At 38.5% G+C, this 23,301-nt stretch overlaps 1 protein-coding gene across 2 annotated transcripts in view; it reads right to left on the bottom strand.

The window, feature by feature from the left end:
* Positions 1 to 23,301, bottom strand: part of CLCA2 (chloride channel accessory 2) — a 32,383-nt gene that overhangs the window by 1,563 nt on the left and 7,519 nt on the right. The window contains exons 5-13 of one of the 2 annotated variants that reach the window (NM_006536.7): positions 22,463 to 22,622; positions 20,246 to 20,473; positions 15,885 to 16,115; positions 14,666 to 14,843; positions 13,448 to 13,554; positions 10,980 to 11,204; positions 7,213 to 7,483; positions 4,258 to 4,428; positions 1,389 to 1,622 (exon numbers count right to left, since the gene is read on the bottom strand). In NM_006536.7, the coding sequence (NP_006527.1) occupies positions 1,389 to 1,622; positions 4,258 to 4,428; positions 7,213 to 7,483; positions 10,980 to 11,204; positions 13,448 to 13,554; positions 14,666 to 14,843; positions 15,885 to 16,115; positions 20,246 to 20,473; positions 22,463 to 22,622 (1,805 nt within the window). Of the gene's footprint in view, positions 1 to 1,388; positions 1,623 to 4,257; positions 4,429 to 7,212; positions 7,484 to 9,464; positions 9,608 to 10,979; positions 11,205 to 13,447; positions 13,555 to 14,665; positions 14,844 to 15,884; positions 16,116 to 20,245; positions 20,474 to 22,462; positions 22,623 to 23,301 lie in introns of those variants that run through there. The other variant, XM_011542448.4, reaches the window with a different exon arrangement.

The raw sequence follows: 23,301 nt of genomic DNA, 5'->3' as shown, positions 1-23,301 counted from the left end.
AAAATATTTAGAAATAAACATAACGAGAAATATGAATACAAGCAAAACTTTAAAACACTACACAAGGACTCATATTAAAATCCAAGGATTTTTTTTTTTTTTGAAAAGCAAGATTCAACACAAAATATGTTATTTTTTCCTAAGTTATTTTGTAAATGTTATGTGATGTTTTTGTTTTTGTTTTTGTTTTGTTTTGTTTGAGATGGAGTCTTGCTCTGTTGTCCAGGTTGGAGTGCAGTGGCGCCATCTTGGCTCACTGTAACCTATGACTTACGGGTTCAAGCGCTTCTCCTACCTCAGCCTCCCAAGTAGCTGGGATTACAGGCATGCACCACCATGCCCGGCTTATTTTTGTATTTTTAGTAGAGACGGGGTTTCCCCATGTTGGCCAGGCTGGTCTCGAACTCCTGACCTCAGGTGATCCACCTGCCTCGGCCTCCCAAACTGCTGGGATTTCAGGCGTGAGCCACTGCGCCTGGTCTGTTATGTGATTTTATTTAAAATGCCTCATTTCTGCTTTATCTAGTCAAGTTTATTGTAAATTCATATGGAAATTAAGCAATCAAAAATGAGCATATAAAGTCTAAAAAATAGCAATGTGGAAGGACTAACCCTACCAGATATACAAATGCTATAATACCTCAGTAATTAAAATGCTGTGGTACTTACTGATGCATGAATAGACACATCAAAAAATAGGCCAAAACACATTCAGAAATTTAGTATATGATAAAGGTGGAATTCAAATTAATGGGGGAAAAATACAATTTCTGAATAAGTGGTGTTGTGGAAATTGGGTAAAAAATTTGGAAAAAGACGATGGAGGCAGAAACCTCAAAGTTAACATAAGCCTTAGAAAAGGGAAAGTAGAAAAAGTACTCCGTCAATGTTTACCCAAGCGAGAATAAGAAAGCCCTGAATCAGGGGACTGGTCCCAGGCTTCCTCGCAAACATAATGGCCAGAAGTAGTAAACAAAAATGCACCAAGGTTTGCATGAGTTATGCAAAAAATTCCCCAAAGCCTACTGATAAATATATGAATAGATATTTACTACCCAACTTTCAGAAAATGAATCACTTCCAGTACTGGGAAGCACATGCTCTGTAGTGCAGAGCCCATTTCTACTGAACAGACACCCATAACACGTGGTGTTTATGCTTCTAGTCAAGGTTTCTGAGTGGTTAGTATCCGTGAGTTAGCCAGGGCCTCCTCATTCCAGGGGTAGGCAACACACTGTCCTTCTGGGACTCCAGGATTTAAAGCCTGATCAGCAACTCAGAGCTTTTCACAACAATCCTCTGTACCTTTTTCAGTTCTACTAGCCCCTGACCTAGTTATTAGAAATGCTGTCTTATGGAAAAATAGGTAATGAAATGAGCAAACCTACCCTGGCCCTGATCAAAGTCTTCTCCAGGTGCTGTCCAAGATAGGGTCAATTCCTCTTCTACTTTTACAGCTTCCAGGTCAATAATTTTGCATGGTGGAAACACATCAGGGTGGGGGCCAGCTGGAACTCCCAGCACTGAAAAGGAGCCTCCTGAGCTGACTCGGCTAAAGCCCCACTTTCGCTCCTCCTCATTTCTGCCTACTGATTTCCTTGGAGCATTCATCTGAATATTACCTGAGACAAAAAAGAAAAAAAAAGGCAAAATGACAAATTACAAAGCTTCTGAATAGCTTGTTCTTGACACAGTGAGACTTTCTTAAACCTTTTTTTCTTTACTACATCTCTAGAATAACTGAGTGTATTTGTACAATACTTTGAACACTAATTCATCCATTTATTCACTCAGTAGATCTTTATTTTATTTTATTTTGAGACAGAGTCTTACTCTGCTGTCCAGGCTGGAGTGCAGTGGTGTAATCTTGGCTCACTGCAACCTCCGCCTCCCAGGTTCAAGCAATTCTCCTGCCTCAGCCTCCTGAGTAGCTGGGATTACAGGTGCCCGTCACCACGTGCAGCTAATTTTTGTATTTTTAGTAGAGACAGGGTTTCACCATGTTGGCTAGGCTGGTCTCGAACTCCTGTCCTCGTGATCCGCCCACCTTTGTCTCCCAAAGTGCTAGGATTACAGGAGTGAGCCACTGTGCCCGGCCTCAGTAAATACTTATGGAGGGCATATGCTGTGCCAATAATTACAGACAAAACAGTATCCCTCATGGAATTTATAGTCATGTTAATCATATTAATAAACATATATTTACAAAGTATGATAAGTGTAAGAAGGAAAGAAGACAGGATGCTATGAAAGAAAATAATGTGGGTCAGTAATTTAGCGTGGTATCAAAGAGGTAACATTGAAAGGCTTCCTAAAGGTTGAGTAGGAACTGTCCAGCTAAAGAAGAGAGGGAAGAACATTCTAGGTAGAGGGAACAGCAAACCCTGAGGTGAAAAAGAGGTTTCAAGTTAGAAAAGCTAAATTAAAAGCAAGGAGAGTCGTTTGAGATGAGGCAGGAGAGAAGTTTACACAGGACCTCATGGTCCAAAGTGATTTTAGATTTTAATGTTACATGCTGCAGGGAAGAAGGGAAGTGACAAAATTATATTTGCTTTCTAATAGGACACTCTGGCTGCTTGGTGTAGAATGAATTAAAGCACAGCAAGCAACAAGGCGGCCACTTAGCCATTCAATAGTCCAGATGAGAGAAGATAGCAGCTTGGGATGGGAGATGGTGTGGAGAGGAGGGCAAGAAAGTGGCAGTTCAAGATGTCTTCTGCAGATGTCAAACAAAAGCTGGTGATGGATATGAATACAGAATGGTGAAGAAAAGAAACATGGTTTAAAATGAAAAAAAAAAAAAAAAAAAAAAAAGCTTCCAGGTTTCTAAAATGAGCAAGCTGGGAGGAGAAGCAGGATAAGGAGAAAAAGAACAAAAATTAAATTACAAAGTTTGTGATTCCTGTAAAACATCTAATTCAAGATGTTAATGAGCCATTTAGATCTGGATTTTAAGCTTAAAGAAGAGATTTTAGCTAAATTTAATAATTTTAAAGTTATGAATTTGGAGGTTATACACAGATAGATGTTATTAAAGGCATATGGATTAATGAGATTAACTAATAATAATTATTACTATAATGATAAGTAGCACTTTTTGAGCACCTTCTATGTGCCAGGCACTTTTCTAAGGCCTTACATGTATCAGATATTTAATTTTCCCAACAAGGCTACGAAGAGGGTACAATTATTACCCTTATTTTTTTAGATGATGAAACTGAGACACACAGAAGCTAAGTCACTTGCCCAAAGTCACACAGCTAGTAAATGGAGGAGCTGGGTTTCAAAACCAGGCAATGTGGCTCCAGATGGTAAAGTAAGAAGGTTCAGACTCAGACAACATTTAGAGGCCTGGTAGAAAAGGAGGAGCTGGAAAAAGAGCCTGATAAAAAATTCCAGAAAATAGGAGGTAATCAGGAGAGTGAGGTATCATAGAAACCAGGAAATGGCAAAGGAGGGATCTTGGCTGTGTTTGATACTGGTGAGGTCAGGAAGAATGAGGACTGAAAAGTAAACAAAAAGTATAGAATCATGGTGTGGAATAGTCCAAATGATTAGTTATAACTTCTAAAATACATGAATAATATTTATAAAGAATCTGCATTTTTGGAAATAAAAATGCTTAGAAGTCTTTTTTGAGATTGTTTTCAAAGACTGTAGCATGATATATTTCTGTTGGTCTATTATGCTTTAACCACCGCTTCCTATCAGGAACTATTATAATGGTGTTAAAAAGATAACTATCTTCCATTTATTTTGAACTTTTTTCTTGAAGAAAAGCAAAACATCTTCAGGAATCACTTAGTTGCCTGTAACACCCAAGCTCATATTTATTTAGGAACTCATTTCCTGTGTGGACTGTTTGGGCTGTTGGCCTCCTTCTTTCAACTGCTAATAACTTTTTGCCTCTTTCTCTTGCCTAAACCTCTATAGAGGAAACACGGAAGCAGGAACTGAGAAAACCCAGTAAATCTCTTTATCTATTAGTAATTCTGATGAAACAAGAAAGAGGTCAACATAATGACTAAAATGAAGTTAGGTATAATCTGTGGGCATTACCTATCGCCTTCCTGTTACCCCCCTACCATGAATCACTGAGGATTGAAGAAACAGTCAACAAATTATGTATGGACTTAAGCGTAAAGAGTTTTGAAATTCTCTCTTTCTCTCACTCCCTGCCACCCCAGTACACACATACCCATCAGAGATATGTACATGAAATGATGTTACTCAAATAACAGTGCTAATGGTTCTTACCGTTTGCTGTGTAACCTGGTACATACATAGCATGACTCCCTGGAATAGAGTGGGCTGGGGTGCTTATGCTGGGAGAGTGATTGACATGCACTTTCAAGCTATATCTACCATTTGCAGCAAAGGAGAAAAAATACCTCGAGTAAATTCCATCATTTTTTATAACATCAGCACCTGTATATATAAAAAACACAGTGTCAACACTTGTTATTATAGTAGATTACTAATATTTAAGTCATTAAAAATGAGATTTACTCCCCTTATTCTTTCTATATAAGATATATTATCATGCTCTTATCTACTTTTTACATTCTCAGGTGATAAAAAATCCAATGGGTCCATAATTTCTCCCTGTAATTTCTTACCTCAGTAAAATGATTTTCTAAAGGTGAATAAGTTGTACCATGCTAATAAAACATTTAATCATCACCTTTAACATTCTTGTACTTATCATTGAAAATAATACTAGTTTTTTCTAGAAATCAAGCACATTCTTCAGGTTGCTTATAGTCATTGACCCTTTTGAGATATGAATAAAAGCTATTTTGTCCCTAGGAAATAAATATATATGCACATATACACATTTTCATACAGTTTCAAGGGTTTATGAATGCCTTGAAGTCACTTGATTAAGGACCTTTAATAAATAAAAACTTTGGTTAGTTTATAAAATAGTGTGAAATTACTTAATTTCCTCATTAGAGGGTATCTGGAACTGTTTTTCTAGATTCTAGGGGACTTGATGACCTGGAGTTTGACAGAATTTGGTAGCATCTACTGTGCCTTGCTTCAGGGGGCATTCTGAAAGGTTAGCCAGTGATGTACTTCCTTCTTTTTAAATTGATCTTCAGAGAGCAGTTCAATTCCAAGCCAAAATCATGACTCAATGGCAGGAAGGCCTAGACCCCAGGGCAGCAGAGGGAAGTCCAGCTTAGCCCAAGTATAGATCACTTTTGCCATTCAAGTACAGGTGGCCATAGTGGGCAAGCAGCTTGTCCTCTATCCTAGAGGTCAATTCAGTTTTCATACCACACACACAGCCCTGCATACCAGCAGTGTATCATTGCTAAAGTGTCCCCAGAATCTCCCTCTTCCCCACTGCAAAGGCAGGGCTCCTTAACATAAGAAAAGCAGGAGTATATTTAAATGAAATAAAAAGTGCTAAACATTTTATTATCAAGATAGATTTAGAACTCTTTTTTGTCTGTTGTAAGAAATCAAATCTTGGTATTTAGTGATTTAATGATTAATAAGGTTTATCTTTGTTGAGAAATTACAAAGGAAAATCTCTCCATATTAAAGTCACCACTGCCACCTCTTTTAATAACTGAGGCAGAAAGAAATGGGGAAAGAACATTGGCTTGGGAGACAGAGGAATTAATTTGAAGGCCTGCATCTGTCACTTAGTAGCTATGAGGCTTCATGTCTCTGAGCCTCAGTTTTCTCATCTATAAAATGGAGATAACTTATCTTGCAGGGTTGTTGTGATGATTATTTGAGAGTATGCATGAAAAAGTACATTTTAAATTGTAAATCATTTCAGAGGTATAAGTTTTATTACAGTTCATTTACTGAGCAAATAAATACTGCTTCCATTATAAAAGTATTAAACAACTATGTACATGCGTGTTAAGTATTGATTGGAGGGGAAACAATTTACATTTTGATGCCTGAGCAGTATTTTTTATTGTTCCTTTTTTTAGTGCATACATTTAGATATCAAACAAATAAAATAGTTCCAAGGAATAATATAAAAGCCAATTGAGCTGAATCAGACGATATTCCCTAGGGGAGTAGGCTCTGTTCTCCAGGCTGGCCCACAGGGTGGGGCAAGAGAGAAACATTCTGCAAAAGTACATTTTTGGACCATAAACAAAAAATGAAAGGTGCAACCATGGATAAGCCATCAGAGCATGAGAAGTTCATTTGGATCCAATCCAACAGGCAAAACAAGAAGACTTCTCTGGTATCCCCCAGTGGTGGACTTGAACCAAAACCCTTTGAATGAACTTTTGTTTTCCTGCACATCATACATGATTGCCATGGCAAGATACTGATGGGCTACCAAACTTAAGACTCTTGAAAAAAGATTAACTTTGAAACAACAGGGCAAAAGAATATAATTTTGTTAGCAGATCAAACACTTCGGGCTGCCAAGAGGCAGGTCTACTGCCATTCTAAGAATGTAATTTAGGAAAATAACCAAATAGGAAAGATGGAACAACAAAGGAATTTGTTTTTCAAAGGATCCCAAGTGCTGCTGTTTACCTGGCTGGATGCTATACCATCTATAATGTATGATGACGAGGCTCTGAATGCTGTATGTGCAGAATGAGAACTTTTCTCTATTCTGATTCCACTAGGCTTGCAGGCTGGGTCTTCTTGGGACCAAATTACACACGTAAAAGGCATTGGCTGTGCTAGAACTGAGCTGTGCCCTCTCTTCAACCCAGCCTCTTGGGTCTAGGGTCATCTTATAGGTCACAAGTTCAGTTTCCAATTTTTTCTTCATAACTGGGGTCCAAAGGGAAAAAGTGGGTTCGCTGTCACTGCACCTCCCTTCTGATTTTCATTTGCTATTTTAACAGTCCAATCTGATTACTTCAGTGAATAATAAAGCTAGTGACTCTTAGAGGAATATAAGTATGTCATAAGGACATAGAAGCCTGCTCCTGTATGACCTCAGCAAGTGGAAGCCAGGACCAAGGTGTCCAGCGGCTGCCTCCCACCCTTTGCTCAAACATAGACACTATGAGGAGTCTCACAAGGACTCTCTTTTTCCATGTTAACCTGTAGCTATTCAGTATATCAGTGACTCTATAAGAATTTGAGAATATTGTAAGATTAAAAAAAAATTGAACTCAAGGAATCTTACAGATAAGCTTAATATTGATACTACCGCATCATATCACAACAGCTGTTGAGAAGATGATAAAATGTCATGACATTCCTTGTTACCTGCTCCATCATCAAGGAGTCTCAGCGTAACAGGATCTCCAGTCTCTGGCTCAACTGTGGCAGTGACAGTGGCATTAAGAATGGGATAAAATCCCTGTTTCACATTGGCATAAATCATCACAGGATGAGGAAAATGGAGGCTGTCTCTTTCCACAAAGGCTTCCACAGTGGCTGGGGGCACAGCTGAGTTGGAGGCGCGAGAGGTCACTGTCACTTTCAGGGCTTGCAGAGAATGATGGGTATTGTTCAGGGTGTAAGTCCAGTGCCCAGGCTGTAAAACAAGTCTTATTGTTTTGGAAAGTGTGAAAAAAAAATCAACCCTAATTTTAAAGCATACATCAAAACTTCTGGAGAATTTTGCTCTTGTTTTGTTGATGTTGCACTTTTTAAAATACTACAAAAAGATGCCAGGAAAAGTAGCATTGGTTAAGGGATGAATAAATTTGTATTTACATGGCTTTCATAGCATAAGTCACCTTTATTTCTAGATAATTCTTTAGGGAATTACACCTCGAATTTATTTGGAGTGAGGGAGGATACATCTTGATTCCCATTTTTAGAACATAACAATAATAGTGTCCAGCTTCAAAGTACTTTACAGATATTAATCTGAGCCCCTTCCCCAAAAAGGCGTTTAAATGTTTTTCATTTCTTTTCATAACTGAGAAAATTACATCAAATTAATTGGACCATTATAATTTATGTGGACACCGTGGACTAAAAAGGCAACAACATCCTTCTTTCACTCCACTTCCCAAAAACTCCACACTCAGAAATCTCAATCAACAAAAAACACATACACTACTAGGGACCAAGAAAAGGACCTACTATTTTTAATAGGTCAGGATTATACAATATCTAATTTGGGTAATTTATAGAAATACTGCTAAACACTACTCTTGCCTATCTGCCTGGGAAAAACCTACAAAAGAAAATCTGAAAGAAAAAGACTAAAATTACAATATAGCAGAAATTCGTCCTTTTGATTAAGCTATACATATATTGCTTTTCCCTGACTTCTGCTGCTGCTCCTTATCAAACCCCCAGAAGTAACAAGTGAAACACAACAAAGCAGAAGGAAGAACAGAAAAGCAAGGGGTTGAAGCGTAACTCAGGGTGGAGAGTTCAGATGCACCACACCCTAGCCATCTTTCTTCATTGGGATTCATGAGCTTCACTATTTTCCATTAAGTTATGATTCAAGGACTATGTTTTTTTGTTTTTGTTTTTTGAATCATAACATTAGTGACAGATGCATGGCAGGAACTTCCACATCAAAAAGTTCTCTGAGTGTAATAAATGTTTTGATACAGGGCATCTAATCCAGACCAAGAGGTCAGGCAAGGGGAGCAAGAAGTAGGTAAAGTGTCCCTGGCCCTTATACACAGGTGTGAAAAGAACATGATGAATTTGGAGAAAAGTTCAATAGGAGCAGAGCATCGAAGAAGTTAAGAGAGAAGCTTGGGTAGAAGCCAAAACATGAAGGGTCTGGTATGTAAGATTTACCACTTGGGCCTGGTGACAGAGCGAGACTCCATCAAAAAAAAAAAAAAAAAAAAAAAGTTCCCACAGCTCACCACTACAGAAGCAGAGAAGACAACTATGCAGAAAACAGAGTTGGTGGCAGTCAGGAGGAATGCAGCTGGTCTGTTGGACCCCTACTGGATTGGGGGAGTGCAGAAGACACTGGTGAAATCCTCTATACTGAAGACCTGCAGTTGGGAGCAGGGGGAGTCCATGGGTCTGCTGATTTTTTTTCCCTATTTAGTACTAATGTGTGTGTGATCTTTGTTTTACAAAATACCTTTTGGGTTTTCTGCATATTTTAAAATTTTTGTACAGTTTTGAATTCTATAGATCGTCTTGGAAGGATACTGTGTGATGAGCCAGGCACACAGTAATTGGAGACTTTTAATGTGTGTAATATTTCATAGATTGCATGCTATTAATCGTCTGTGAGGGTAGTATTTTTTGTTTTATTATAAGTTTCCCTCATTTTTTTATAAATTAAAAGATGGTTGGTATTAGGAATTTCAAATGAATGCAGAAAATCTTACATGCTCTGTACTATTAATATTATAACAAAGACGATCCAAGTCCAAAATCTGACCAATAAAGCAACCATTTTATCAAGATAGAGGATTCTACCATGGGAGAGGGGATTCTTCCCTCCTGAAGTTTGTGTGTCCAATCCCCTTAAAAAAAATGAATAGTTGTCTTTTCTTGTCATATTAATACTCGAAAGTCCATGGTGATATTAATGAAAGTACACTTTATTGTTGCCTTTGACCTTATGGCCAAGGCAATAAATCAGAAACAAAAATAGTGCCAATGTGTCAAAATCTACAACTGAGAGATTCAGCCTCCCATCTGGAATAAATGCGAATCTTCTAAGCTAAAAAAAAAAAAAAAAAAAAAAAAAGGTTAACACTTGGATTTTATTCTGAAACCACCAAGGAGGTTTTGAACAAAAGACAGACTGATTTGTGCTTCAGAAGGATCGCTTTTATAGAGGTAAAGAATGGACTGGAGGGATGGCAGTTCAGAGTCAAGAAGGCTAGTTAAGGGGCTGTCAAGAAGGTGGTGGGAGCGGTGGCTCATGCCTGCAATCCCAGCACTTCAGGAGGCAGAGGCAGGCAGATCACTTGAGGTCAGGAGTTTGAGAACAGCCTGGCCAACATGGTGAAACCTCATCTCTACCAAAAAATACAAAAATTAGCCAGGCATGGTGGCAAGTGCCTGTAGTCCCAGCTACTCGGGAGGCTGAGGCAGGAGAATCGCTTGAACCTGGGAGGTGAAGGTTGCAGTGAGCTGAGATGGTGCCACTGCACTCCCGCCTGGGTGACAGAGCGAGACTCCATCTCAACAACAACAACAACAACAACAACAACAACAACAAAAGTGGGGGTGGGGCAGCATGTGAGGAGGCACTGAATTCAGGCAGTGCAAGAGTGAATCTGATCAACTTACAGTTCTCCTTAGAACCATCAGTGGTTCCCTTTCACTTTCAGGATTCAAGCCCCTGTTCACTTTACTGTTGTGCAAAGCCCTTGCTAATACAGCTCCTGTTTACCTGTCTAGCCTCACTACTCCCCTCTCCTTCCTTTGCCTACATCCCTAACTTATAGATTACCCTACTCTATTGAACTACTCTAGTTCTATGAACAGCCATGTTCTTTTTATCTGAGTCTTTCTATATGCTGTTTCCTCTGCCCACAATATCATACCCACCTCTGGCCTGTTATTCCTTATATTTCCATTTTGATGTCTTTGCTTCCAGGAAGCATTCTTCCTTCCACCCTCTTGTATGTTCTGATAGTACCCTGTTCATGCTCTTACCATGGCATTTTATTGTAAAGTACCTGGAACAAAACCCAGCACACCCAGTAGATGCTAAAAACCACATGCATTGCATGTATTCATATTATAAATTCTAAGTAGAGATTTTTTTCTAAGCATATAGAAAAGTGTGTTTGTATGGATTATGTAAAGAAATATGTAGGCTAGAAAAACATTAATTGTAATACTAGTGGAAATACTAATTTTCAGTGTTGAAGTATTTGGTGTCTAATATATAAAACTGGGAATATACCTTAGTTATTCCTCTTAAATTTTTAATATTCACAAAATGGCCTCATAAATTTAAAGTAAACTTTTGATATATTAAAACAAGATTTTCTTTACACAATGCATTTAATCATGTGATTCAGCTGAAAATCATAAACTTGGTTGAACGTTGTCCTTAGGAACAAACTCACAACACCTACCTTAGCTGTTCCTGGAATCCAAAGACTAGCTGTCCGAAAAGTTAGATTGGTGATAAAATTATTTGTGTAGTATTTTCGTCCATCAGGATCAAATAATATAATCTCAGGAGGACCACTGGCCTGCCACGTAACTAGAAACATAGTGTCGTTGCCCACAGTATTATCCACAGTCACTGTGTTTTTCAATTGATGGTGAGGTTTGACATTTTCACCTGTACTTTCAAGCTGTTAAAGAGAAGATATATATGAGAGTTTCTGGTGTATGCATAATCATTCCATCTTTTTCTTTTTTAACAAACAACAATTAATTGGCAAAAATAAAAATAATTTAATTCTGACAGGTACTGTAGTTATACATCATTTTTCATAAAAAATACTTTGCAAAGCAAAATATTGCATGTTATTTAAGTACAGTAGGTATAAAACATTTTGTTGTAGTTAATGCAAGTGTCATTTCATTATTCTTTATTAAAAGATGTTAGCTGTCCTCATATTATCTCTTATCCAAACCAACATTGGCCTCAGATCAGCAATTACAATGACAAGCTTTTAAAAATTTTCATTTGTGAATATGCTTAAATTTTATTAATTTGTATATAATCTGTCCAGATCCTTTTATATATTTCGATAAGAAATAAAATCTTGGGTTTTGGCATGGTTTTGCTACGTTAAAAAATTATTTAGGCCGGGCACAGTGGCTCATGCCTGTAATCCCAGCACTTTGGGAGGCCAAGGCGAGTGGATTGCCTGAGGTCAGGAGTTTGAGACTAGTCTGGCCAACATGGTGAAACCCTTTCTGTACTAAAAATACCAACAAATTAGTCAGGTGTGGTGGCATGTGCCTGTAATCCCAGGTGCTCGGGAGACTGAGGCAGGGAAATTGCTTGAACCAAGGAGGTGGAGGCTGCAGTGAGCTGAGATCGCGCCACTGCACTCCAGCCTGGGAGAAGAGCAAGACTCCATCTCAAAAAAAAAAAAAAATTATTTAGCCATTCACAATAAGCCACGTGTGTGCACACACATGTGTAACATGTACAGAGTACAAACGTATGCCTGGCCCCATGCTAAAGGCTTCACAATCTCACTTGATCCTTATAAAAATCCTCTGTGATAAATACTATTGTTATCCACATTTTAGAGATGGGAAGAGTAGGCTTAGAGAAGTAATTTGCCGATGTCACATACCAAGGGAATGGAACCGTGATAAAACCCAGTGGGCCTGACACCAGAGCCCCTGCATTTAATTACTGCGTATTTCCAATGGATACAAGTCTCTAAATAACTTTGAAAATTTACATTTATTAAATAAGCACATTAGTAATGCTTCGTTAATTGCTCAAATCTGCAAAGCGTGTAAAATTATATTGGTGGATAACAGCAAAGACATTGTGAATTGTTTGTTCAAATGAATTTAAGAAATATTTATGGATTGCTGATGGCTGGGCCACATGCTATGCTGGGCCCTGGGCTGTTGAAGAAGATTTACATGTAGTTCCCACCTCACTCCAATGGAGCTAATGACTCCAACAGCTTGTCGGGAGGGGGGCAAGTTTGGGAACGTTAAGGCTTATTTGATCCCATATGAGTAATATTTTGTTAAATTTATTTTTTACTTCTTTAAACATTTGTTTTTATTCCCTATTGTTGCAGAGGAAGTCACAGGGCATAAAGATTGAGCATTATCAGAAGAGCCAATTGTAGCCTAATCTGTACTAGATATTGTCATATATAATTCACATTTTTACTTCTTATTGTGGAATTGTGTTTATTGCCTTCACTGTGTAAATATAATCTTCACGTTAAATAAATTGACAGGCTGCATTGGTCACATCAAGCCATTAACTTGGCAGGCACACTTGCCATCTGTGAGGAAACTATAGATGAAATTTTGTTCAACACATTATTCAGTTATGTCCAAAATATCTTTAAAGTACTTTGGAAAGAAAAAAAAAGTGGCCCTATGAAAAGGACTTAACTAGAGGAAGCTTTGGTGAGCAAAATCATGTAAGTTGTGGTAGTCAAAGAGATATTTAGATATTTGTGGTAGAATTTAATGAAATAGTTGATACCCCTTATACAAGGAAGAGCTTCAAAGATGTTGAAGAAGCAAAAATAAGATGAATTCTGATTGACAGAAAGTTACTATAACACTAAAAGTAAATTCACAGTTCCTTATTTTTCTTCTGCACCTTGCCTCTGCCACACCCCCATCTGCACTTGAGCCACAAGAAAGGAACAAGCTCCACTCGCAGACTTTGAAAAGCTGAGGTGGCAATTGTGGTAAATGGCTCCTAGGGCTGAAAGCCTGGCTCTGGTGATGCCAAGCAGCCTTTTAAAAGCCTTCCATACACAGCTGTTACATATTCAAGTAAGGTTAATGAAGCAGGTAGCACAATTCGTTGATTTCCCTTGTTTCCTTCTCCCTTCCCACTCCCCACCTGGAAATATAACATTGAGAAAATTCTGACCTGAATATGTTGCTGGAAAATGTCTCCAGTTCCAGAGGAAATTCTACTGAAAGCATCAATCATGCTATTGGAGTTTGATATATCTGGAACAAAGAACTTTAAACCTCCTGAAATACATGATAGGAGTGTTCACTATTAAAATGGGTAAAATAAAACAAAAATAAAATGTTAAGCCTTTTCCAACAAGCTTTCTTTGCATTAGAGTGTTTGTTTTGGGGAAATGGGAGCTGTGCTTGACTTGCTTTGCCTGACATCCTATACAACCACATGGTAAGTGGCCCTAGGCGAGTGGTTTCAGCTATTCTATTCATGACTGTATTGCCAGGGCCTAGAACTTATGTACAGTACATAAGAACTCAATAAATATTTATTGAATAGTCTTCAGATTAAGGTAATTTTAAGATAATTTAGGTTAATTGCTATTTACATCCCTATATGTTTACATTTATATTCTGAAAACATTGCTTTTAAAGATAATTCAATAAAACCTTTCATTTGTCAAATCAGCATGCCCATTTTTTATTGAATAAGGAATATAAGATAAAATTATTCTGTGCCTTATTTAGTATAAAAAGATATGTATCTTAAAACACTGTGTGTGTCCCTATTATAGAAGTTAGTGCATTTAATCTTTTTCTTTTTTGAGATGGGGTCTCGTTCTGTCACCCAGGCTGGAGTGCAGTAGCGTGATCTCAGGTGACTGCAACCTCTGCCTCCTGAGTTCTAGTGATTCTCCTGCCTCAGCCTCCCGAGTAGCTGGGAGTATAGGGACCCGCCACCATGCTCTGCTAATTTTTGTATTTTTAGTAGAAGTGGGGTTTTACCATGTTGGCCAGGCTGGTCTCAAACTCCTGACCTCAAGCGATCTGCCCACCTCAGCCTCCCAATGTGCTGGGATTACAGGTGTGAGCCACCGCGCCCGCCCACAAAGCATTTAATCTTAAACATATGTTTTAGCTCCATGATTATGCATGCTCACACTGGCTTAACACAGAATTATAAAATATTATTTTTTGGATGTATATAGTTGGAACCTTTAGGGAAAATGTAAAAAAAAAATCAGCAAAATTTTGACAGATTCTAGCAATATGTGTGTGCGTTTTTTAAAAACAATTTCTGTATTTTCAATTAAGCCATATAATGAGTTTCATAGTTGTGTCTTGGATAGTCAAGTTAAAGGGACATGCTCCAAAAGATAAGTTTTTAAAAGTTTATTACCTGTAAGACGTGATAATTCCTCCAGATTTGGGGCTGCAGATGAACCCAGGGCAATGGAGTGAATTGTTGAACCACTGCTGAGCACAGTGGGTAAGCAATTGCCAAGAAGCTTATCATCTCCGCTGGTCACTAATATCATCACAGAGCCATAAGCTTTTCCATTCAGTTTTTCAACCACCTGAACATAGAGAATTAGTCACTTGGAAGGAAGTGTAGTTCAAATTGTTTTATTGAGCAAAAGAATTCACTCTCATCCAAATTCCCACTGTAGCTCCTACACCCCACGCCCATCTCCACTCAAGTTTTACCTCACCCCATCACAGCACTTGTCACCCTACATTCCACTGCCAGTTTGCTTGTGAGCAGGGACTTTTCCTGCTTGAATCATCAAGGTGTCCCCATAGTTTAGAACTGTATCCATCATAGAAGATGTGGAATACATTATTGTGTGAGAGGCTTGCCTCTGAGATCCAGTAAGTGACCACCTAGAGCAGTGGTTCTCAGTCTTGGCTACACGTTAGAATCAAATGTGGAGACTTAAACAATTTTAATGGTCAGGTCACATCCCAGATCAATTAAATCAGAATCTCTGGGGGTTAGACTCACACATTAGTATTTTTTTTAATCCCCAGGTGATTTCAATAGATAGCCAAGGTTTAGACCATGGGCAGCAAAAACCATAGCTGATGTGTCTTGTTTGCTATCAGATAAGCATCCCAGATGCTGAATGCAAACTTGTGTTGATTTAAATAAACTCTGTCATTCCTGAAACACACTTCTGGCCTTAATTGTGATGTGTTGCCTTAATTGGTTCTGATGTGCGTGAAGTCTAGAATGACTATAGACAGAAGCTAGACATGCTGATTTTGACAAGAAAATTGAAAGGTAAAAATGGCCCAGAATGGCTAGGAACAGTTTAGAAAATGCCCAGATGTTGTTTAGGTCCTCTAGTCTCGTCCATTGTATTCATTTATTTTCTTATTCTGTCAACAAGTATTTATTAAGCAACTATTGTATGCTATGTACTTTGCTAGGCACAAGGAGTACAATGGTGAATAAGGCATGGTTCCTGACTTGAAAGATAATCCATCATTACTTTCATAGTTGAGGCTGTTATGACCACCCTGTAACAAACTGCCCATCATCAGAGGAAACCTCGTATACTAAAAGAGGGAAAGGAAAATGATGGTGATCCAAGGCTTAGGATGCTCTACTGTACCTCAAATCCTTTCTTAAGCCCTGAACAAATGCTGATGTCTGTTTTAGCTGATACAGTGGTGGGCAGATATGAAACCAGCAACTTTCGATCATCATTGCTGTTAATTTGGTGTAGCTGGGCTCTGATCTCTCCTTTGCTGTCGAAACTGGCAATGCCCACGAAGGTATGAATTTCAACAATCTGCATCAAATAAAATTCTGCGGCTTGTTGTAGTTGAAGGAGTCTGTCAGCCTATGTCCCAAAAAGGAAAAAAGAAAATGGCAACATTTGGTTAGTAGACAAAAGTATGATGAAGTAACTCAATTAGCAAACATCTCTGCTAATTCTTTAGAGATGTTGGATCATAATTTTTTGAGCTTTAAAGAGTAACATAATATTAGAATATTGTTTGATTAATTGCAGGCTCAAAAATGCATGCTTTCAGGGAAGAGGGAGTGGCTTGGGGCTCTGCCTCCAACAAGATGCTCATAATTTACCACTCTCTGTTTCTCATCATCCCCACTATTTCACTCCAACTTAGAATTCAAAGATTCATGAACCCAGCTGAGACGAAATTTGTAACTGCTGTTTTAAAAATGCAGTCCAGGTAAAAGAAAACATTGCAAAGAGACCTTTGCTAGAGAGGAGTGGCAGTCAGAGGACCCATGATCTGCCCCGGCACTACCCTCTGCTATTGTGGTCACCTTAGGCTGGGTACTTCATCTGTAGAGTGAGGATGATAGCTTTCTTGTTTATGAAATTAGAATTGCCATGAGGATCAAGTGAGATACATATATGGCAGTACAGTTATACCATGAAGGGCTAACCAGGTGTAAAGTAATATTAGTGACCAGTTTTGGGCAGGTGATGCTATTGATTAATTCACTAGGGTAACTTGTTTTGAAAGCTCTGGGAAAAGAGAGGAGCAGCAAGCTGAGCTTCAATGACCACCCACTCAGGGATGACACTGATCTCTATCTCCAACTCAAGCATCTTCCTGGGTGGATCTAGACCTGCATTTCACACTTCTTAGGACACAGGTTTCTGGCTTAACTAGTTGGGAGTGATGATTTGACAACCATGAAGATGGCAACTCTACACTTTGAATTCTAATACTGTTTCTCTTACAATATTGGGAAGTAAGTTGTAAAGGGGGTAAAACAAGGACTTAGAACTCTGCCTTCAACTTTTGCTAATTATGTGATCATAGTAAAATTACTTTTTTTTTTTAGCTTCAGTTTTCTCATCTGCAAAATGGATACTGAGTAAGCACTCACAATAGAATAGCTATTGCCATCTTCATGGTCATCAGATCATCACTCCCAATCTTGATCTCTACTCCCAGCTAGCTAAGCCAGCAACCCAGGACTCTCTTACCATTTCTGTTACCAGCCTCCATATTCTTGAACAGGTCCCATCAACTCAATATCTTAAATTTCTCTCAAATCCATACCTATGTCTCTATCCCATTCGCCACCTCTCAGATCTACCCAGTGTTAGTTATAGTCATACAAATGAATGCCCTTCCCTTGAACAAATCCTTCTTTTTTTGCCTCTTGGCCACTGCACACACTTTTCTCTTCCCACAAATGTCCTCCTTTCTTCTCTTTCCTTACATCACCCAACCTAGCAAGCGCCTAGTTGAATCCTTCAAGATTGAACTCCAAATTGATTCTCTCAGTGAAACCTTCCTTGACCACTTTCTTCTACAGCGCCAGGTGCTGCCTCTTCAGTGCTCACATAGTAACTCACATCTCTGTGGAGCCTAGTCACATTGTATTGTATCTATTTACATGTGTGTGTCCTGTGTCCCTCATTAGCTATAAGCATTTCAAAGCAGAGATGCTGTTCTTCTCATCTCCATATCCCTCAGGCCAGTGCAGTGTAGGCATCTGATAATGAATGGCAATAATGGTTCAATGACGTTGTTGGCAGGAAAAGGGAGGAAAGTTTGGTTTGCCATGAGTTTGTTACTTTGGGCTTATTTCTCTTCTACATATTTCAGATGATACTCTCAAGTACCATCATCTTTCCTCTTCATTCCATCATTCTTGCTCAATACAGGCAGATAGCCAATATAAATTACTCTGAGACCATGTTTAAGAAAAGCATGCCACTGGGAATGTTGGCTCATGCCTGTAATCCCAGCACTTTGGGAGGCCAAGGTGGGCGGATCACCTGAGGTCGGGAGTTCGAGACCAGCCTGACCAATCATGGAGAAACCCCATCTCTACTAAAAATACAAAATTAGCTGGGCGTGGTGGCACATGCCTGTAATCCCAGCTACTAGGGAAGCTGAGGCAGGAGAATCACTTGAACCTGGGAGTTGGAGGTTGTGGTGAGCTGAGATCGTGCCATTGTACTTCAGCCTGGGCAATGAGAGCAAAACTCCATCTCAAAAAAAAAACCAAAACAACAACAACAACAAAATGCCCTAGTCAACTGCAGGTATGCAACATAACAAAATTATTCAAATGCTGGCTATATTAGTGGAGTTTTTAGTTTTTCAGATATCAGCCAAAAAGGCAAGTATTCCAGGACTATTGATCCACAGAGCACAAGGGGATAAATTCTCTCCTTGGACAAGTACTATTAAAATAAACAGCTACCACTTATTATTTATTTTGAACTAAAAATTTCATATTATCTCATTTACTCCCCTCTCAATAACCCTATGAAGTAGACAGTGGTATACTGGTAAATGTTTAATAACAGTTTTCTGATGAAGAATAAAATAAAGGAAGGGAAAAGGGAGGTAGGGAGGGAGGAAGGCAGGCAGGCAGGCAGGCCTGATTCGTAGCAACTGCCAGTTTCTGCGGGGTAAATACTCTTCCATGTGTGAAACCATGGTTGATTTCCTGCTGTCAATGTGATGTCACTGAGTGCACAGTTGGGATGAAATTGTAGTAGCACATCCATACAGATGCAATAGACCAGAAATAACCTCAAGAATTTAGCTCAGGGATCAGCAGAAGTTTTCTGTGAAGGGCCAGATAGTAAATATTTTAGGCTTTGCTGGCCATTAAGTTCTCTGTTGCAACTCCCCAACTCTGCTACTGTAGCAATAAAGTATCCATAGATAATATGTTGACAAATGAGCATTGCTATATTCCAATAAAATTATTATTTGTGGGCACTGAAATTTGAATTTCATATACTTTTCACACATCATGAAAAAGCCTCTTTTTTTTTTTTAACCATTTAAAATGTAAACCCATCCTTATTTTGTGAGCCATGCAAAACAGGTAGTGAGACATAGTTTGCTGACCCTGGGCATAGATAATAGTAAAAAATAGTAGGAAAAATTAAGAAGTGATGAGTTTTGAGTATTTCATATATTCGTTTACATATATTTTATTGTAAGCTTATATCATTTAATTGTTATTAATAGCTATGTTTAATTACTGGTTTGCAGATTTCCTAAAACTTTAAAAGTTGACTCTCATAAAAGTAGGCACTATTATCCCTATCTTACAGGTGAGAAAGCTGCTTCAGAGGGGCCATCATGCTCTTTATAACGAAGACATATTACACAGTAGTGAAGCAGCCAGGATTAAAACACAGCTGCCTGATTGTGGAGACTAAGACTTTAATCAGTTAAAGCAGCTGGAGGCTGCTAGATTGCTAGATGACTGAGATATGGTCTTCTGTACACAATGACATGGAAAATAGCCATATAATGGACATTCACTTTCACTGCAAATTCACAGTTTACTTCCTCAACCAGGGATATTTACCAGTGAGTAGAATGTAGCCAGCAGGAACTTTTCATTATACATAAGAATTTTCGATCATTATAGGTAAGAATTTTGGAAAAGGATCTTTGTTGGAAAGAGTTTCAATTAGTAGCAAAAATAAGGGTTAGAAATTATCTGTGGATTTCATTTATCTGCATTATCTCAACTTTTGGCCACATTCTGAATTTGTTCCTCCCAACCCCCAAAAAATAGGATGTCCTTGACTATTCCAAACCTTTTGCCTCCTCCAACTCTCACCCTTACCTCCTGAAAATAAAAATAATTAAAAACTGATAGAAAAGGCATGGTGTCCTGCACCTGTAGTCCCAGCTACTTGGAAGACTGAGATGGGAAGATCACTTGAGCCCTAGAGGTCGAGGCTGCAGTGAGCTGAAATTGTGCCACTGCACTCCAGCCTGGGTGACAGCAGGGAGGGAGAGCATCAGGATAAATAGTTAATGCAGGCGGGGCTTACTACCTAGGTGATGGGTTGATAGGTGCAGCAACCACTATGGCACATGTCTACCTGTGTAACAAACTTGAACGTCCTGCACATGTACCCCAGAACTTAAAATAAATTGAGATAATAAAGAACTGATAGAAAAAATGATAAATGTTTACATTCATTTTCGTTCAAAATGTTACCTCTGCCATCTTGCTGGACACATCCAGCACTAAACAGACCACTTTGTCACCAGCCTGTACAAGCGAGAATGTGGGAGGAGGTGGAAGCTCAGTCCCATTCATGGGAAAGCTGTGGTGAAAGTCAGCAGAGTCTGTGATTACATCCCATGCACTTCTGAGGCTGCACATCTGGTTCTGTAGGTTTGGTGCTTCTTGGTTGTGGGTACTTGCATTACAAAATTCAACCACCTGGAAATAAAAACAGTCTTTAATAAAGAGAGGCACTTCTCCCAAAGCAAACATAGTTCTCATTCTCAAGGAACTATAGGTAAAAGAAAAGGTGAACTGAAAGAAAAGAAATCAAAAGTGGTACAGTGATATACCTCTTTCCTTCAAGAATGACATCAAATTACAAATAAACCTTGGCATTCTTGCTGGGAACACTAGCATCTTTGTGGTTCTGAGAGCAATCTCTATTAAAGTTTATTGGTATTAGATAACAAACCATGTATGTGTATATATATACATAATCTTACTCTTAAAAACAAAACAAAACAATCTCCCTCTTCCCTTAGCACAATATTGTATTAGGAAAACAGCCAGAAGAAGTTATCATGATCAGCCTACTCCTTGGAATAATATTTAATGACCACTGCACCTTTATTTGTTGATCAGTCAACATATATTTTTCTACCTCAAATATTGATCTCTGTAAAAATAGATAAGGGGATAAACAACTTAAATTTACTTCCTGATCCCCCACCCCCACTCAATTTGGAAATATAGATATAATTTACAGAAATATAGATATAATTCACTAAATGATACTGAACCTATGTCAATACCCCACTTAAAAATATGGTTTGCATTGCTAAGTAATGCATCACCATCTATTCCCAGTGGCTCTATTCCTACAAAGAGTCGATACTTCCCATTAACAGAGCCATGGAAACTTAGAGTTAGAAGCAACTGAATAGCCTCTCTTGTCTCAGCTCTAACTTCATAGAAAAGAAAGCTGAAGCTTTGAAAGGTTGATAACTGCTTAAGGACATGAGTTTCTTAGGAAGGTGCAGGGACTGGAACAGAATCTGGTTTTGCTTTGCGTTGTTTAACTCTTTTTCTTCCATTTCATGACTATGGTTATGGGATTGTAAAACTTTTCTGACAAGATATTTATGAGTAGGTCTTTCAAAACATCGTGAAGATAGTACCTAGTCATAAATAATGTGGATCGAATGCATTAGGTTAGTATCAGATATTAAAGCTATAAATAAGAAACATAATGTATGGGACAAGAAATATGAAAAATTGTCTTAAAGTTACAAAATAACTTCTAGTCCTGACTAAAACCAGAATGAAATAAAATAGCATGTCAATCCAAGGGGCATTGGTCAGCCATGGACACAAAGAGAAAACTCCACAGAGGCATGTGTGGGCTGTACCCCCAGATCTGTGAAGAGATGACCCACAGATGTGACTTACAGGCTTTTGTGAACTTTGAGAGATATATCAGGTCATGAAGGCTGATGCTACTAACCTCTGAATCACCTAACTCCCTCGTTTCTGATTCCATGCTCTCTGACTATGCATCTGGTGAGAATTGGCTGTTCCAGGCTGCTTCATCCAGAGAGAAAATAAGTTGGCCAGAGGATGCAAGTATGAGATGCCCATGACAGAGTACTCTTTTTAATTAATAGTTTAAAAAATAATATTCTGGATTTATATGCTAGTCTCTTGTCAGTTAGTTAGCATGGAATATTGACAAGGTTGGGTTTCTGCAAAGCAGAGTTGGTTGACTTCTCCTGGTGATACCTTACTGTTAAGTTCTAGACTATTCAAAACAAAGGAAAGAGATTGAGGAAAGGCATTTCAAATACAGAGTGGTCTGCTACTTCAAACGAGAGAATTATAACCATTTGTTATATCACTCTCATTAACCCAATGTAATTTCTTATGAAAGAATACAAGAACACCACCATAAGAACAGTTTATTTTGTGGTCCCCAGAGTCCCTTTGTTAAACCTCCCAGGAAAGCAAATAGTCACTTTCCTGAAGGTATCATTTGGGTAATTATCTTGGGGGTTCCAATTTTTAAATCTGTAGATAAAAACTAGATGAACTCTAGGGTCCCCCAAGTTCTAAAGTATAGTGCATCTTAATTATCTTATAATTTAAATACTTGAAACATGGGAAGAGAAGGAATCCTGCAAGAGTGTGTCATTCCAAGGGCATACTTACAGAAGATAAACTTTGCATGAACATTATTGATGCAGTTGCATTTTGGGTGCTATTGTAGATAAAGGTGCATCCTTCTTTAAAAAGCTTACTAATAATACAGTTTTCTTGGGGGCAAGGACCTTTTTCACACACAAAAATGCCTGTGATGTCAGATGAACACCTAAAAATGGAAAGAGAAACTGGGAATTAGGTCTATTTTAGAAACACTTATGTTTCTTGTTGACTAGCTTATATAATTATTACAAGGATTGTAGCCTGCTAGATATATACAAAACTTTAAAAACTGCTCTACTGGCGGGGTGCTGTGGCTCACACCTGTAATCCCATTACTTTGGGAGGCTGAGGCTGGTGGATCACCTGAGGTCAAGAGTTTAAGACCAGCCTAGCCAACATGGTGAAACCCTGTCTCTACTAAAAATACAAAAATTAGCCAGGCGTGGTGTTGGGCACCTGTAATCCTAGCTACTGAGGAGGCTGACGCAGGAGAATTGCTTGAACCCAGGTGGCAGAAGTTTCAGTGAGCCGAAATCGTGCCATTGCACTCCAGCCTGGGCGACAGGAGCGAAACTCCGTCTCAAAAAACAAACAAAAAAACAAACAAACAACAAAAACAAACAAAAAACTGCTTCATTAAGAAAGTTCACTGATTTAGAAATGCACTCTATTTTATTTTAAAGCATTTTATCTTGATGGAGGGGTTCTGTATTAACAAGGGCTTTAACAACTAAATAGGGTCAAAGCAAAAGATACTAGGAAATCCAGATGGACTTTGGGAAGCCCAAGGAAGGACATGAGTGGCAAGATCCTGGGTCAGTGCTCCTTTGAGTTCATTTCCACTT

Source organism: Homo sapiens, chromosome 1 (genome assembly GCF_000001405.40).
Source record: "Homo sapiens chromosome 1, GRCh38.p14 Primary Assembly".
NCBI lineage: Eukaryota > Metazoa > Chordata > Mammalia > Primates > Hominidae > Homo > Homo sapiens.
The sequence above is the reverse complement of the archived record's forward strand: the minus strand, read 5'-3'. Positions and strand labels throughout refer to the sequence as shown.